General features: G+C 39.2%; 1 protein-coding gene across 1 annotated transcript in view; it reads left to right on the forward strand.

Annotated features, from left to right (window-relative positions):
- RSBN1L (round spermatid basic protein 1 like) overlaps positions 1-13,875 on the forward strand; it is an 86,564-nt gene that overhangs the window by 26,194 nt on the left and 46,495 nt on the right. Inside the window, exon 2 of the mRNA NM_198467.3 lies at positions 13,758-13,874. Coding sequence (NP_940869.2) covers positions 13,758-13,874 — 117 coding nt within the window. The remainder of the gene's footprint in view (positions 1-13,757; position 13,875) is intronic.

Genomic DNA, 13,875 nt, shown 5'->3' on the forward strand with positions numbered 1-13,875 from the left:
ATGTAACTGCTTTTCCTTCTGCTTCAAATTCTTTACATTTCTCTTCTTCTGCCGCTGCTTGTTCTCTCATCTATTTCTAGCCATACATTATTCCTGGAAGGAATAATGTAAGAGAGGGAAGGTGGGGAATGTCATTGTTGTCGTTCAGTTCAGTTGATTTCATGGACTGCGTTATTATGGTGTGAATTATGGCTCATGGCTCATATTCAGGGCAGGCAAAACTGTGATGGTGTGAAGCTTGTTTGATGTTTGTGCAGCAACAATATATTGTGACTGAAAGCTGTAGTATGAAATTCTAACATTTCTTTCTCTCTTCTTTTTTTTTTTTTTTTTGAGACAGAGTTTCGCTTTGTTACCCAGGCTGGAGTACAGTGGTGCAATCTCGGCTCACCACAACCTCCGCCTCCTGGTTCAATCGGTTCTTGTGTCTCAGCCTTCCGAGTAGCTGGGATTACAGGCATGCGCCACCTCGCCTGGCTAATTTTGTATTTTTAGTAGAGATGGGGTTTCACTATGTTGGCCAGGCTGGGCTCAAACTCCTGACCTCAAGTGATCCACGTGCCTTGGCCTCCCAAAGTGCTGGGATTACAGGTGTGAGCCACTGCGCCCGGCCAACATTTCTTAAGAACTTCCAGTGTGGATTTTTATGATGCTGTAATTTCTTAAAAAAATTAATGAACCTATATAAAGAATTTCCTATACATCAAAATCTGTGGTTGAGTAAAAGTATAGCTTCTTTTTCTTAAAAACTGTTAAGCCTAATAAATAATGTATGTGTGTATGCATATTCAGAATACATATATAATTTATTTTTTAATTCTAATTTTAATTTTTTGAGATAGGGTCTCACTCTTTGCCCAGACTGGAGTGCAGTGGCATGATCACAGCTCACTGCAGCCGTGACCTGCTGGGTTTAAGCGATCCTCCCACCTCACCCACCCAAGTAGCTGGGACTGCAGGCATGTACCACCATGCCCAGTTAATTTAAAAAGAATTTTTTTGGCTGGGCGTGGTGGCTCACACCTGTAATCCTAGCACTTTGGGAGGCCGAGGTGGGAGGATCACAAGGTTAGGAGTTCAAGACCAGCCTGGCCAGCATGGTGAAACCCAGTATCTACTAAAAATACAAAAATTAGCTGGACATGGTGGAGCATGCCTGTAATCCCAGCTACTCGGGTGGCCGAGGCAAGAGAACTGCTTTAACCTGGGAGGCGGAGGTTGCAGGGAGCTGAGATCACGCCACTGCACTCCAGCCTGGGACACAAGAGTGAAACTCTGTCTCAAAAAAAAAATTTTTTTTTTTTTAATAGGGACAGGATCTCTCTGTGTTGCCCAGGCTGGTCTTGAATTTCTGGGCTCAAGCTATCCTCCCACCTTGGCCTCCCAAAGTGCTAGGATTACAGGCATGAATGAGCCTTTGCACCAGCTTATAATTATTTCTAATTTTCTCCTTTTTTTCTCCTCTTGATTAACTATAGCATAACATCGAGATAATATATATCAAGTGAGGTAGAACAGCACTTGAACAGTTTTAATGGAGGGAGACCTTTGGAAACTTTTTTTAATGTGTTTATGTGAGTACATATTATGTTATATATTCAGTGTTTTACTTTGAATTTTTTTTTCTTGTATCTCCTTCTAATATACTGAGTGATTCTAAATCTTTAAAAAAGTATGTATCTGAACATAATTATTAATTCTTTCGGGAAGGAGAGTTAGGCTACCAACTTGATTGTACAAATAATACATAATATATGAATCCCTTTCTTTTTCTTTTTTCTTTTTTTTTTTTTTTGAGAGTCTCACTCTGTTGTCCAGGTGGGAGTACACTGGTGCGCTCTTGGTTCACTGCAACCTGTGCCTCCTGGGTTCAAGTGATTCTCCTGCCTCAGCCTCCTGAGTAGCTGGGATTACAGACGTGCATCACCATGCCCAGCTAATTTTTGTATTTTTAGTAGAGATGGGGTTTCACCCTGTTGGCCAGGCTGGTCTCGAACTCCCGACTTCAGGTGATCCACCTGCCTTGCCCTCACAAAGTGCTGGGATTACAGACATGGGCCACTGCGCCCGGCCATGAATCCCTTTCTATTGTAGAAGTTTCAAATAATTTAGGAAGTAAATGAAATAAAAACCAGAAGTTCCTTGTCTTTCTTCCCTAGGGGTAAGCCCCCTATTTTTTTTCTTTTTCTTTTTTGTTTTTTTTTTTTGAGACGGAGTTTCGCTTTTGTGGCCCAAGCCGGAGTGCAGTGGTGCAATCTCGGTTCACTGCAACCTCCGCCTCCCGGGTCCAGTCGGTTCTCCTGCCTCAGCCTCCCGAGTAGCTGGGATTATAGGCACACACCACCATGCCTGGCTAATTTTTTGTATTTTTAGTACAAACGGGGTTTCACCATGTTGGCCAGGCTGGTCTTGAACTCCTGACCTCCGGTGATCCACCCGCCTTGGCTTTCCAAAATGCTGGGATTACAGGCATGAGCCACTGCGCCCGGCCACAAATCCCTTTCTCTTGCAGAAGTTTCAAATAATTTAGGAAGTAAATGAAATAAAAACCAGAAGTTCTTTTTCTTTCTTCCCTAGGGATAAGCCCCCCACTTTTTTTTTTTTTTTTTTTTTGAGATGGAATTTTGCTCTTGTGGCCCAAGCTGGAGTGCAGTGGTGCGATCTCTGCTCACTGCAACCTCTGCCTCCTGGGTCCAATCGATTCTCCTGCCTCAGCCTCCCAGGTAGCTGGATTACAGGCATGCGCCACCATGCCCGGCTTATTTTGTATTTTTAGTATGAACGGGGTTTCACCATGTTTGCGAGGCTGGTCTCGAACTCCTGACCTCAGGTGATCCACCTGCCTCGGCCTCCCATAGTGCTGGGATTACAGGCATGAGCCATGGCGCCCGGCCAGGGGTAAGCCCTTTTAAGTGTTCTGTGCATTTACATATGTACATATGTAAACACACACTCACAGAAGAGATTATATCGTTTACTATTTTATTTTATTTTATTTTTTGAGATGGAGTTTCGCCCTTGTTGCTCAGGCTGGGTTCAAGCAGTTCTCCTGCCTCAGCCTCCCAGGTAGCTGGATTACAGGCATGCGCCACCATGCCCGGCTTATTTTGTATTTTTAGTAGAGACAGGGTTTCTCCATGTTGGTCAGGTTGGTCTGGAACTCCTGACCTCAGGTCATCCGCCTGCCTCCCAAAGTGCTGGGATTACAGGCAAGAGCCACTGCGCCTGGCTAAGATTATCTAGTTTATTTTTAAAAACCTAAATATACTATATATATGCCTTTTTCTGTAACCTGCTTTTTTTTTTAGTTAACAGTGTGTCTTGTAGCGCTTCTGTTATATATTGTTAAATTTATATACACATACATATACATGTGTATCTGTCTGTATTTCTAATTAAGTTTTGCCTTTATAAGTTTTTTAGTAAGCATTTCATTTCAGAGTAGTTTTAGATTTACAGAAAAGTTGCAAAGGTAGTACAGAATTCCCATACACCATTATTAACATCTTACATTTTTCTAGCACGTTTATCATAGTTAAGAAACAGTAGTGATGCATTATTATTAACTAAAGTCCATACTTTATTCAGAATTTCCTTAGTATTTTGTCTTATATCCTTTTTCTGTTCAAGGATCCCATCCAGGATACTGTATTACATTTAATCATCATGTCTCGTTAGATTCCTTTTGGCTGAGACAGTATCTCAGACTTCCATCGCTTTTAATGACCTTGATTGTTTGAGGTGTACCAGTTAGGTATTTTGTGGAACGTCTCCCAACTGGGATTTGTCTGATGTTGTCCTCATGATTAGACTGGAGTTTAGGGTTTTGGGGAGGAAGACAATAACTGTAAATTTTAAAAACAAAATTTAATTTAAAAATATCGAAAAATTTATAGTAAGAAGTGTCCCTAGCTTTCCCTACTGATTTCGTGTTCCTCAGCTCGTTTAGTATCCCATCTACTTTTTTTTGTTTTTGAGACGGAACGTTGCTGTGTCACCCAGGCTGGAGTGCAGTGGCGCAATCTAGGTTCACCGCAACTTCTGCCTCTCGGGTTCAAGCGATTCTCTTGTCTCAGCTTCCCTAGTAGCTGGGACTACAGGCGCGTGCCACCACACCCAGCTAATTTTTTTTTTTTTTTTTTTTTGAGGCAGAGTCTCGCTCTTGTTGCCCAGGCTGGAGTGCAGTGGTGCGATCTCGGCTCACTGCAACCTCCACATTCCTGGGTTCAAGTGATTCTCCCGCCTTGGCCTCCCAAAATGCTGGCATTACAGGTGTGAGTCACTGTGCCCGGCCTAATTTTTGTATTTGTAATAGGGATGGGGTTTCACCATGTTGGCCAGGATGGTCTCAATCTCTTGACCTCGTGATCCACCCGCCTTGGCCTCCCAAAGTGCTGGGATTACAGGTGTGAGCCACTGTGCCTGGCCATCATCTGCTTTTTTTTTTTTTTTGAGATGGAGTTTCGCTCTTGTTGCCCAGGCTGGAGTGCAGTGGCACTCTCTTGGCTCACTGCATCCTCCGCCTCCTAGGTTCAAGCGATTCTCCTGCCTCAGCCTCCTGAGTAGCTGGGATTACACACATGTGCCACCACGCCCAACTAGTTTTATATTTTTAGTACAGACGGGGTTTCTCCATGTTGGTGAGGCTGGTCTCGAACTCCCGACCTCCAGTGATCTGTCTGTCTCGGCCTCCTGAAGTGCTGGGATTACAGGCGTGAGCCACCACGCCCAGCCCCCCATCTGCTTTTAATTCCAAGTTTCTGAATAAAATGCTCATACTACTTTTTTTTAGTTAGTTTTAGACATATAGTGCATTCTTGTTTAGATAAGAATTGTCACTTTTATTATTTATTTTTATTTTTAGTATTTTTTTCAAGACAGACTCGCTTGTCACCCAGGTTAGAATGCAGTGGCTCAGTTAGTAGCAGGGACTACAGGCCTGTCCCACCTTACTCAGCTAATTAAAAAACAAATTTTTTTTTTTTTTTTCCCCTGTAGAGACAAGGCCTCACTTTCTTCCCCAGGCTGGTCTTACCCTCCTGGCATCAAGTACACCTCGTGCCTGAGCCTCCCAGAGTGTTTGGATTACAGGTGTAAGCCGCTGAGCCTGGCCAGAATGACCACTTTTATAACCTAGCTTCTTTCCTTTTTAATAATTCCACATACCTTAGTTAAAACAATAGTCAGTGCTTATAATGACTCTGCAAATGCTGTTTAATGCAGATCAGGGAGAGATCCTTTTATATGGCTTTCTTCATTTTTGTGTAGTTAAAAATTGCCTCTCTTTTTCATTTACTTATGTATCCATTGCTTCATTTTCTCTCTATTCTCTGTGTTCTGTGATAAGAGAAAATTTGTCAGGTCCCCCTTTGTTTCTGGAGGTCTTGTTTTTAAGAGCTCCATTCTTGTACTTCAGCCTGAACTAGTTATCCGCTGAGCCATCTGCACAGTGTTTATTTTAATACATTCTCATCTGCTCTTTTATGCTGGGTCCTCCGATCTCACATTGTCTTCCTTTGTTTACTACTCCCTAGTTTACTTGAGCACACCCTCAAATAACTTCCTGTGACAGCATGCATGTGTGGTAATTTTTTAAAAATTTTTGCTTGTCTGAATATGCCTTCCTGCATACTTGATTGATAGTTTGGCAGATTATAAAATTGTATGTTAAAAATTATTTTCATTCGCAATTTTGAAGGCATTGCTGTATTGCTTTTTAGCATCTGTGTACTGTTACTGTTGAAGAGTTCATTTCCATAGTTACCTGATCTTTTATGTAATCTGTTTATTTTTTACTTTCCTCTAGAGGGTTTTAGTACATTTTAAAAAGTCACGAGGGCTGGCTATAGGTTCACGCCCAGAAGACCCGTGGAGCTTGCCTCCTATGGTGTGGCGCTGCTCAACAGCCACCCTGATTTGGCATCATTTTTGGCAGAGATAAACAGCAGTTTCCTGGGCTGTCTCTAGCTGCCTTCAGGGCTTTTTCTCCCTAAAGGCACTTGCAGTGCTTCTTGCGGATTAAGGCAGAAATTGTTTTCCTGCAGGAGAACACAAGATGGTGAAGAAGCTGGCTGTCTGCCTCATTCTTACTTTTTCTAATGTAAAACTTTTAGTCTTGGGGGATTTTTCTATGGGGTGCCTCGCATATTTGGGGAGGGGAATCACAGAAGTCGATTTCTCTTACCATCTGTTTGGAGTTTTAAATTTCCCTGTGACCCTGGAGATTATCTGTACCTCAGGTTTGAGTTCTGGGATATTGCTAACGATAGTCTTGATCCTGGATATTTGTTTTTGGTTTTCTGTGGGGAAGAGTGAAGCCAGATGGCTTCTGCTCTGCCATTTGATGATGCCACTGTCCTTATTTATTTATTTTTTAACATATTGAAAATATTTTGCTGGCTTATGGCTGTTGAGAAGTCAGTAGACTCTTGGCTGTAGTCTGTTTTTTCCTTCCGCTTCTTTTATAGTCTTCTCTTTGTCTTTAGCTGTTTTGCAGCTTCCATTGTGGTGTTTTTATGTGTGGAATTCTTTTTATTTATTCCATGTAAGAGTTATTAACTTTCTTGAGTCTGATTTTCTGCCCTAATTTTGAGGTCTGTATGGCTGCAGTTGGAAGGAGGTGGTGAACAAGAATTTCTCCAAGGTTTCTGGGGGCCCCATAGCTGCAAGGTCAGAACAGAAATGAAGGCAGTGTCCACTACTGACTCACCTTGGGAGCCCTCATGACTTTAATAATAGTGGAGACTAGTGAATTTTATTGAAACCAGATGAGATTATTTTGTTACTAAGAACAGGTGTTCCAAAGTGGTAGTTACAATAAGAATCAACTGGCATTTGTTGACTGTAAGATTCTTAGTGCAGTATTCATCTTTATTTCCTAAATCCATACATGCTTAATAGAAGTATATTGGGTGAATGAGATACATATTACACTGAAGCATATGTGGCTTATACTGCTAAATCATAAGTTCACCATATTTCTGAAGATCCCATTTGTATTTTGTTTAAAATTATTTTAGGCTGGGTGCAGTGGCTCACCACTGTAATCCCAGCACTTTGGGAGGCTGAGGGTAGGTGGAGTGTTTGAGCACAGGAGTTTGAGACTAGCCTGGGCAACATAGTGAGACCCTGTCTCTACAGAAAATTAAAAAATTAGCTGGGTGTGATGGTGTACACCTGTGGTCCCAGCTACTTGAGGGGCTTAGGTAGGAGGATCGCTTGAGCCTGGGAAGTCAAGGCTGCAGTGAGCTGTGGTCATGCCACTGCACTCCAGTCCATGTGACAGAGCAAAACCCTGTCTCAAAAAAACAATTATTTTAATGAGTTTCTTTTTTATATCTTAATCTTTATGTGTGGGCTAAACACATACTTTATATATGTTTAAAAAGTGTGTGTTTAGCCCATGTTCATTTTTCCACATATATGATTTCTTTTTTGTTCTGGGTTGATAGTAACTTAGTCATACATTCCTTCTTTCTTCCGTTCTTAGATTCCTTTGGCTGTTTGGGTTTAAACTGTATCATAGGTCTGTTTGCATCTGTTTCTCCCACTCCCCTTTGTATTTACTTATTTATGCCTTAAAAAGTTGACCTCATGTTTTAGAGCAGCTTTTGGTTCATAGCAAAATTGAGCAGAAGCTACAGACTTCTCATATATCCTCTCCCCCGACACTTGCATAGCCTTCCCCATTATTAACATCCCCTATCAGAGTGGTACATTTGTTCCAACTGATGAACCTGCATTAACACATCATTACCACCCAAAGTCTATCATTTACATTAGGAGTCACTCTTGGTGTTATAAATTTTCATGGGTTTGGACAAACGTATAATGACATGTATCCACCATACACCACAGAGTATTTTAATTGTCTTAAAAATCCTTTGTGCTCTGCCTATTCATCCCTCCTCCCCACTATACCCTGGCAACCACTGATCTTTTTATTTAAAGTCTCCGTAGTTTTGCCTTTTCCACAGCGTCATATGGTTAGAAGCATACGTTATGTAGCCTTTTCACACTGCTTTTACTTAGTATGCATTTACATTTCCTCCATGTCTTTGCATGGCTTGATAGCTCACTTCTTTTTAGTGCTGAAGAATATTCCATTGTCTGAATGTGCTACCTAAAGGACATCATGGTTGTTCCCAAGTTTTGCCAATTATGAGTAAACCTGCTGTAAATGTTGTGGTACAGATTTTTGTGTAGACATAAGTTTTCAGCTCCTTTAGATAAATACCATAGACTGTGATTGCTGGAACATATGATAAGAGTATATTTAGTTTTGTAATAAACTGCTAACCAGCCTTCCAGAGTGGCTGTACCATTTTACATTCGCACCAGCAGCAGATGAGAGTTCCTTTTGCTCTGTATTTTTGTCAGCATTTGGTGTTGTCAGTGTTCTGGATTTTGGTCATTCTAATAGGTGTGTAGTGGTATCTCATTTTTGTTTTTATTTGTGTTTCCTTGATGACATCAGGTGTGGAGTATCTTGTCCTATGCTTATTTGCTATCTGTATATCTTCTTTGGTGAGGTGTCTCTTAAGGTCTTTAGTGTTTTTTTTGGTTTGTTTGTTTTTTTTGAGGCAGGGTCTCACTCGTTCATCCAGGCTTGAGTGCAGTGGCACGATCTCTGCTCCCTGCAACCTCTGTCTCCTGGACTCAAGTGATCCATCTCAACCTCTCACCTAAAACTCCCACCTCAACCTCCCGAGTAGCTGGGACTACAGGCACGCACCACCGTGCCCAGCTAATTTTTGTACTTTTAGTAGAGACAGGGTTTCATCATGTTGCCCAGGCTGGTCTTGAACTCCTGGGCTCTAGCAGTCCGCCTGCCTCAGCCTTCCAAAATGCTGGTATTACAGGCTTGAGCTACTGTGCCCAGCCTGGTCCATTTTTAATTGTTTGTTTTCTTATTATTGAGTTTAAAGAGTTACCTTTTTTTGGATAATAACCCTTTATTGGATACATCTTTACCAAGTATTTTCTTATAGTCTGTGGCTTCTTTTTAGTCCCTTGACTGTGTCTTCTGCAGAACAGAAAATTTTAATTTTAATGAAATCCAGCTTTATCAGTTCTTTTTTTTAATCTATTGTGCCTTTGGTGCTGAATCTAAAAAGTCATTGCCAAAATCCCTGGTCATCTAGATTTTCTTCTGTGTTATTTTCTAGCACATACCACTTCTCCTAGTTTAGACTTTTTTTTTTTTGGTATGTGGATATCCAGTTGTTCCAGTACCGTTTGTTGGAAAGACTTCTATCTCCATCAAGATAAGTTGATTGTATTTAAGTGGATCTGTTTCTGGACTCCCTATTTTGTTCCATTGATCTGTTTGTGTATTCTTTTGCCTATAATACATTGTCATGATTTCTCTTTTTATTTTTAAATAAAATGTGTAATCCTTATATTTAGTTTGACTTTTCAGAGAATTTCTTGCTTTTATGGTGTTAGAATTCTTACTTTTATTCTGAGAATTATGATGAGAAGATCAGTTACGAATTTTTCCCAAGCCTGAGATTAAACTGTGAAGGATAAAACCATACAAATTCTTGGTCACAGAAATAAATGAATAAAAACTGAATAAGAATTCTAGTCTTGTTAGGAGTAATGTATTATAGTAAACAGTGATGCCACGGCACTGTTTTCCATCACTTCTGTATGTAAAGATCTAGAAGTGGCTTTTTCTTTTTCATTTTTTCTTTGAGACTGAGTCTCACTCTGTTGCCCAGGCTGGAGTGCAGTGGCGCCATCTTAGTTCACTGCAACCTCTGCCTCCTGGGTTCCAGTGATTCTCCTGCCTCAGCCTACCAAGTAGTGGGGATTAAAGGCACCCGCCACCATGCCCAGCTAATTTTTTATATTTTTAGTAGAGATGGGGTTTCACTGTGTTGGCCAGGTTGGTCTCGAACTCCTGATATCAGACAATCCACCTGCCTTGCCCTCCCAAAGTGCTGGGATTACAGGCGTGAGCCACCACACCCAGCCTAGAAGTGGCTTTTTAAAAGGAACATACTACGATACATTAGTGGCAGATTTGATTTTTATATACAGTGGTCTGAATTATGGCCAAAATTTCTTTCTTTGGGATTATGGATACCAATATTATAGGTAAATAGATATTATTCTACATTTGGAAGGCTTTTATCTTTACAAACTGCCTCAGTATGTATTTTCTATTTAATCTTTACACAAACTCCATTTTACAGCTGCAACTGGAGATCTGAAAGTTTGTCAGTTATCTAGGTTGTAGAGCATAATCTTGAACCTAGGTCTCCTGAGTTTGTAGGTATCCCACTTTATCATAGCTCTGCCATGTAACATGACTACAGGAAGTTTAATGGAGGCATTTAAGGTTGGATTTTGGGCTGGGCGTGGTGGCTTAGGCCTGCAATCTGAGCATTTTGAGGGGCTGAGGCAGGAGGATTGCTTGAGCCCAGGAGTTCGAGACCAACCTCAGCAACATAGCGAGACCCTGTCTCTATTAAAGAAAAAATAAAGAATAAAAGACTGGATTTTGAAAAAGGATAGGCTCTACCAAAAAGTGGAAAAATTGTAAGAAGGGTGAAAGGTAGGTTGAAAGGCTGAGAGGTGAGAGCAAGACAGATGTGTGGGTTAAGGACAGAAGTGATGTCACAAAAAAATGCCCTTTGTTTATGTATAGATGGGATTATTTGTGTTTGCTGAGGATGTTTTGATATCAGGAGGGGTAACTGCAATTACGTTGTCTATAACTCTCCTGTCTTGGCTTTGCCATTGTTTTTGTTTCTATAGATGTTTTTCACATAATAACTTCATACCTTCAACTGTACTTGAATTATTTAATATCATACCCGAGTGCATATTCTAAGATTCCTTTTCCTGTGTTATGAAATTAATATGTGCCCATTGCAGAAACTTAGAAACTTTCCACCTTAAATAGTGGAATTTTAAATGTTAAATAAATTAAATATATTCAATATGTTAAATATTTAATTAAATAAATAATTTTAAATAATGGCTTTTAATAATTTGGGTTATCTTTCAGTTTGTTTTTGGAATGTATGTATATTTCTAAAGTTTAAAAATAATTGAGTCATAGTGTATGATAGTTTTATTTCCCTAGAAGCTAGTTTAATTTTATTCTGAAAAATATTTATGTTTTGTGATTGTGGTAGGCTTATATAGTGAATATATGCTATTAAAAGTTTATAGTTGTTGGCTGGGTGTGGTGGCTCACGCCTGTAATCCCAGCACTTTGGGATGCCAAGGCGTGCAGATCACTTGAGGTTAGGAGTTCGAGACCAGCCTGGCCAACATGGCGAAACCCCATCTCCACTAAAAATACAAAAATTAGCCGAGTGCGATGGCGTGTGCCTGTAATCCCATTTACTTGGTGGCTGAGGCAGGAGAATTGCTTCAACCCGGGAGGTGGAGGTTGCAGGAAGCTGAGATCGTGCCACTGCACTCCAGCCTGGGCCACAGAGCAAGACTTTGTCTCAAAAAAAGAAAAAAAAGTTTATGGTTATTTTAACCTGTATGATTACAAGTCAGCATCCTGAGTACCTTTAGGGGTGCTATACAAAGACTGGAAGGGAACACAGAAGGATTCTGTGGTGCCGTTTCACAAGTATCTTCATTTTATTACATTAATATTATACTTTAATAAAATTTAATAGTTACTAAAATAATACGTTTAAGTTGATAAGATTAAATTGAATTATTGGAAAAAGAAATGTGGAGACGTTTTAGGTGACTTTTTTTCAGTTGTAATTTTAAGTGATATATAAATAGTTCATTTTGTTAGAAGTTTAGTTACTTAGGAAATATTATATAATGTGTCTAAGCTCCAGCTACTTGGAGTAACATTTTTTTTTTTTCCAAGATGTAATCTCACTCTGCCACCCAGCCTGGAGTGCAGTGGCATGATCTCGGCTCACTGCAACCTCCACCTCCCGGGTTCAAGCGATTCTTCTACCTCAGTCTCCCAAGTAGCTGGGATTACAGGCATGCACCACCACATCCGGCTAATTTTTGTATTTTTAGTATAGATGGGGTTTTGTCACATTGACCAGGCTTGTCTTGAACTCCTGACCTCGGGTGATCCGCCCACTTCGGCTTCCCAAAGTGCTGGGATTATAGACGTGAGCCACCGCGCCCGGCCTGGAGTAACATTTTATAGCTAGACAGCAGCCTATGACAGGATTTCAAGGACTTTAACATCAGAAAGTAAGAGTGGCAAACCAATCAGAAGTGTGGGAACACTGTAATCTAATTCAGAAGTTAAGTTATATGTGAACAGATAAGGAGTTTTATCTCGTTTATTCTCCCCTGTATCCCTAATCTTTTTCTTGTACTCAGACTGTGTATTTGTTGAGTCAGTGAATTCCTGTTTGCTGTACTTTCGTATGCTTGGAGTGTTATCACTTGAAAAAAAAAAACAAAAAACACTTTGTCAGTGTTATAGGTGAAAGTAATGTCTTTTAATTTGTATATTATTAATGATTGAAGTTTAAAAATGTTTATTAGCACATGAATTTAATTTTTTGAAAATTTATTTAAGTAGTCTAGACCTGTGCTATTCAGTATGGTAGACACTAGTTTTATGTGACTATTCAACACTTAAAGTGAAACTAGTTTCAAATTGAGATGTGTCATAAATGTAAAATATATGTTAGATTTTGAAATCTTATGAAAAAATGTAAAATATCTCATCATTTAAAAATATCAGTTCCATGTTGAAATTATAATGTGTTGGATCCATTGGGTTAAGCAAAATATATCATTAAAATTAATAAAATTGTTTACCAATTCAGATTTAGATTACTGTCTAGATCTGGACAGTGCTTATATAGACAGTAATCTAATCACTACATGATTAGGACCTGGGTTATGGTAGTGTTTATAGAAAGGAAAGTAAGGAGTGATTTTTAAGAGATTATGCAGTATGCATGTATACTATATAATCTCTACTATATTCCAGGACATTTCACAGTTCTTGTATACTTCCATCATGGTTTTGTAATCAGTCGTAAGCTTTTTGAGGGCAAAGGTTTATGTCACTATTTGTATATCCTTCTCTGTATTTTGTCTTTTGCTGGGTGCATAGGAAGTCATTTGAACAAAGAAGAATTTAATAGGCTATCAAATATTTTGTTTGAAGTTTTAGAATGCAAATGAATGATCCCTAGAGTTATTATGCCCTTTATTTAAATATCACAGTATCACCAAGTAGTCAGATTGAGTCATACTATTTTTAAAAGGAGCCAAGGGTAAGGGAACCAACATCTAGTCTTATGTATGCCAGGCTCTATGTAGTCATTTTATATATTTTTTCATTTAGTCCTTATAGTAACCATAATGAGGAAGGTATCAATTACCATTTACAGATTAGGAAACTGAGATCAAGTAATTTTTCTGTTATGCTGCTAATCCATAGATGCTCAATTTCAACACTGGCACTTTTCCATCGTAGCTTTTGCTTCACCTAAAGTTAGTTATTTTAAGTGATTTGAAATAAATTTAATATTTTGGTTGACACGAAGTGAAGAATACTTAGAATAAAATGTATAATGATACATTTTGACAATATGTATTTCATATTCAATAAAAAGGGAAATTTAGAAATATTCCCCAAAACCTGAGAGGAAAAAGAAAAGGCATTATTTGTTCCTCATTCTGATTTTCTTTGTGTATTGTAATTCCAGAAATTTACCTATAGTTTGTGCAGATAAATGAAGTTGTAATTTTTTCATTTTAAATATTTCCTTTGTTTTGTCTTCCAGATAAAATCAAAGACAAAATTAAAGAGAGAGACAAAGAAAAAGAAAGAGAAAAAAAGAAACATAAAGTAATGAATGAGATCAAGAAAGAGAATGGAGAAGTAAAGATTTTGCTGAAAAG

This window comes from Homo sapiens, chromosome 7 (assembly GCF_000001405.40).
Source record: "Homo sapiens chromosome 7, GRCh38.p14 Primary Assembly".
In the NCBI taxonomy this organism is placed as follows: Eukaryota; Metazoa; Chordata; class Mammalia; order Primates; family Hominidae; genus Homo; species Homo sapiens.